This window comes from Homo sapiens, chromosome 18 (assembly GCF_000001405.40).
Source record: "Homo sapiens chromosome 18, GRCh38.p14 Primary Assembly".
NCBI lineage: Eukaryota > Metazoa > Chordata > Mammalia > Primates > Hominidae > Homo > Homo sapiens.
In genome coordinates, this window is record NC_000018.10 from 56,351,612 (window position 1) to 56,352,722 (window position 1,111).

General features: G+C 40.1%; 1 annotated feature.

Moving 5' to 3' along the window:
• Window positions 266–767: an enhancer, noted in NCBI's record as "NANOG hESC enhancer chr18:54019108-54019609 (GRCh37/hg19 assembly coordinates)". NCBI's record gives its function as "activates a minimal SCP1, AML or CMV promoter by ChIP-STARR-seq in naive H9 embryonic stem cells {active_cell/tissue: H9 hESC(naive)}" and the evidence as "EXISTENCE:reporter gene assay evidence [ECO:0000049][PMID:30033119]".

Sequence of the window (1,111 nt, forward strand, 5' to 3'; positions counted from 1 at the left end):
CATAGATCATTATTTCTCAGGAAATTTCTGACCTCAATAAATTTCCTTTATCTTAATATTAACATTGTTCTCCACTGATTTTATTTGCCTAATGCTATTATGGTTGCCTATCCTGTTAGTTTGCTGTGATCTTGGCATCGAAACTTCCCCAGACCTGCTTGCTGGTGACTATATAAAGTTCAAGACCAATAGTTTTCAATGGTTCTTACATGAGTGAATAGAAATGTCGATTAAAGACTGGTAATGAAATGCCACAGTTTCCTGTGGATCTCAAAGCAATTTACCAAGCATTGTTATATGATCTTATGATGTTGAGGACAAGTGATTGTGTCCGCATTTGTTCATGGAGCTGCAAAACCCAGGGCCCATTTCTCTCATTGCATTATTCCCCACCGAGCTGATGATAATCCTGGGAACTCTTCAGAAGTGAGTGGGGAAGCTGATGGAAACGTTGCACTGCGGGGGGTTGAGGGTTAAGCCTGCCGCTCAGTTGTCCCAGCAGGAATCACACAACAGATTGGTTACTTCCAGAGATTAGCTCCTTCAGGTTGAACTATTGGGTACCCTTTTAGGTCCAACCAGAGGTTCACATTGTGGAGCTGTTGACTCAGATCCCCATTCAGAGACTGGACTCTACTGCCTGCTGGGTGGAGATCCAGGAGACGCAGGGTGGATTTTCCCCACTGACTCAGGAAAACAAAGACTTACATTCTGCCTGCTTTGCCTGCTTCTCCCAATGACTAAGGCAAAACCTTCCCTTTCACTTTCCACATACACCTTTTCAGTTGCCTTTCTGTTTAATAAACATTTATTAGGTCATGCCTTTCTGGGTATAAAAGCAACTACCAGCATAGGAATGTTTGAAAATACACAAAAAGCAAAAAGACAGGATCATTTAAATCATGCAAAGTTTCACTTCCCAGAATTAAGCAGTTATCATTCTTTAAATATTTCCTTCCAGTCTTTTTTCTATACAGTTACACATAACACACACATAATGAGGCCAAACTTCATGCACTATATATAACGTTTCAGCTTTTTGCCTTTACAAATACATCATGAATAGTTTTGCAGGTAAATAAATGTTCTTCACAACATGATTTCTAAAGGT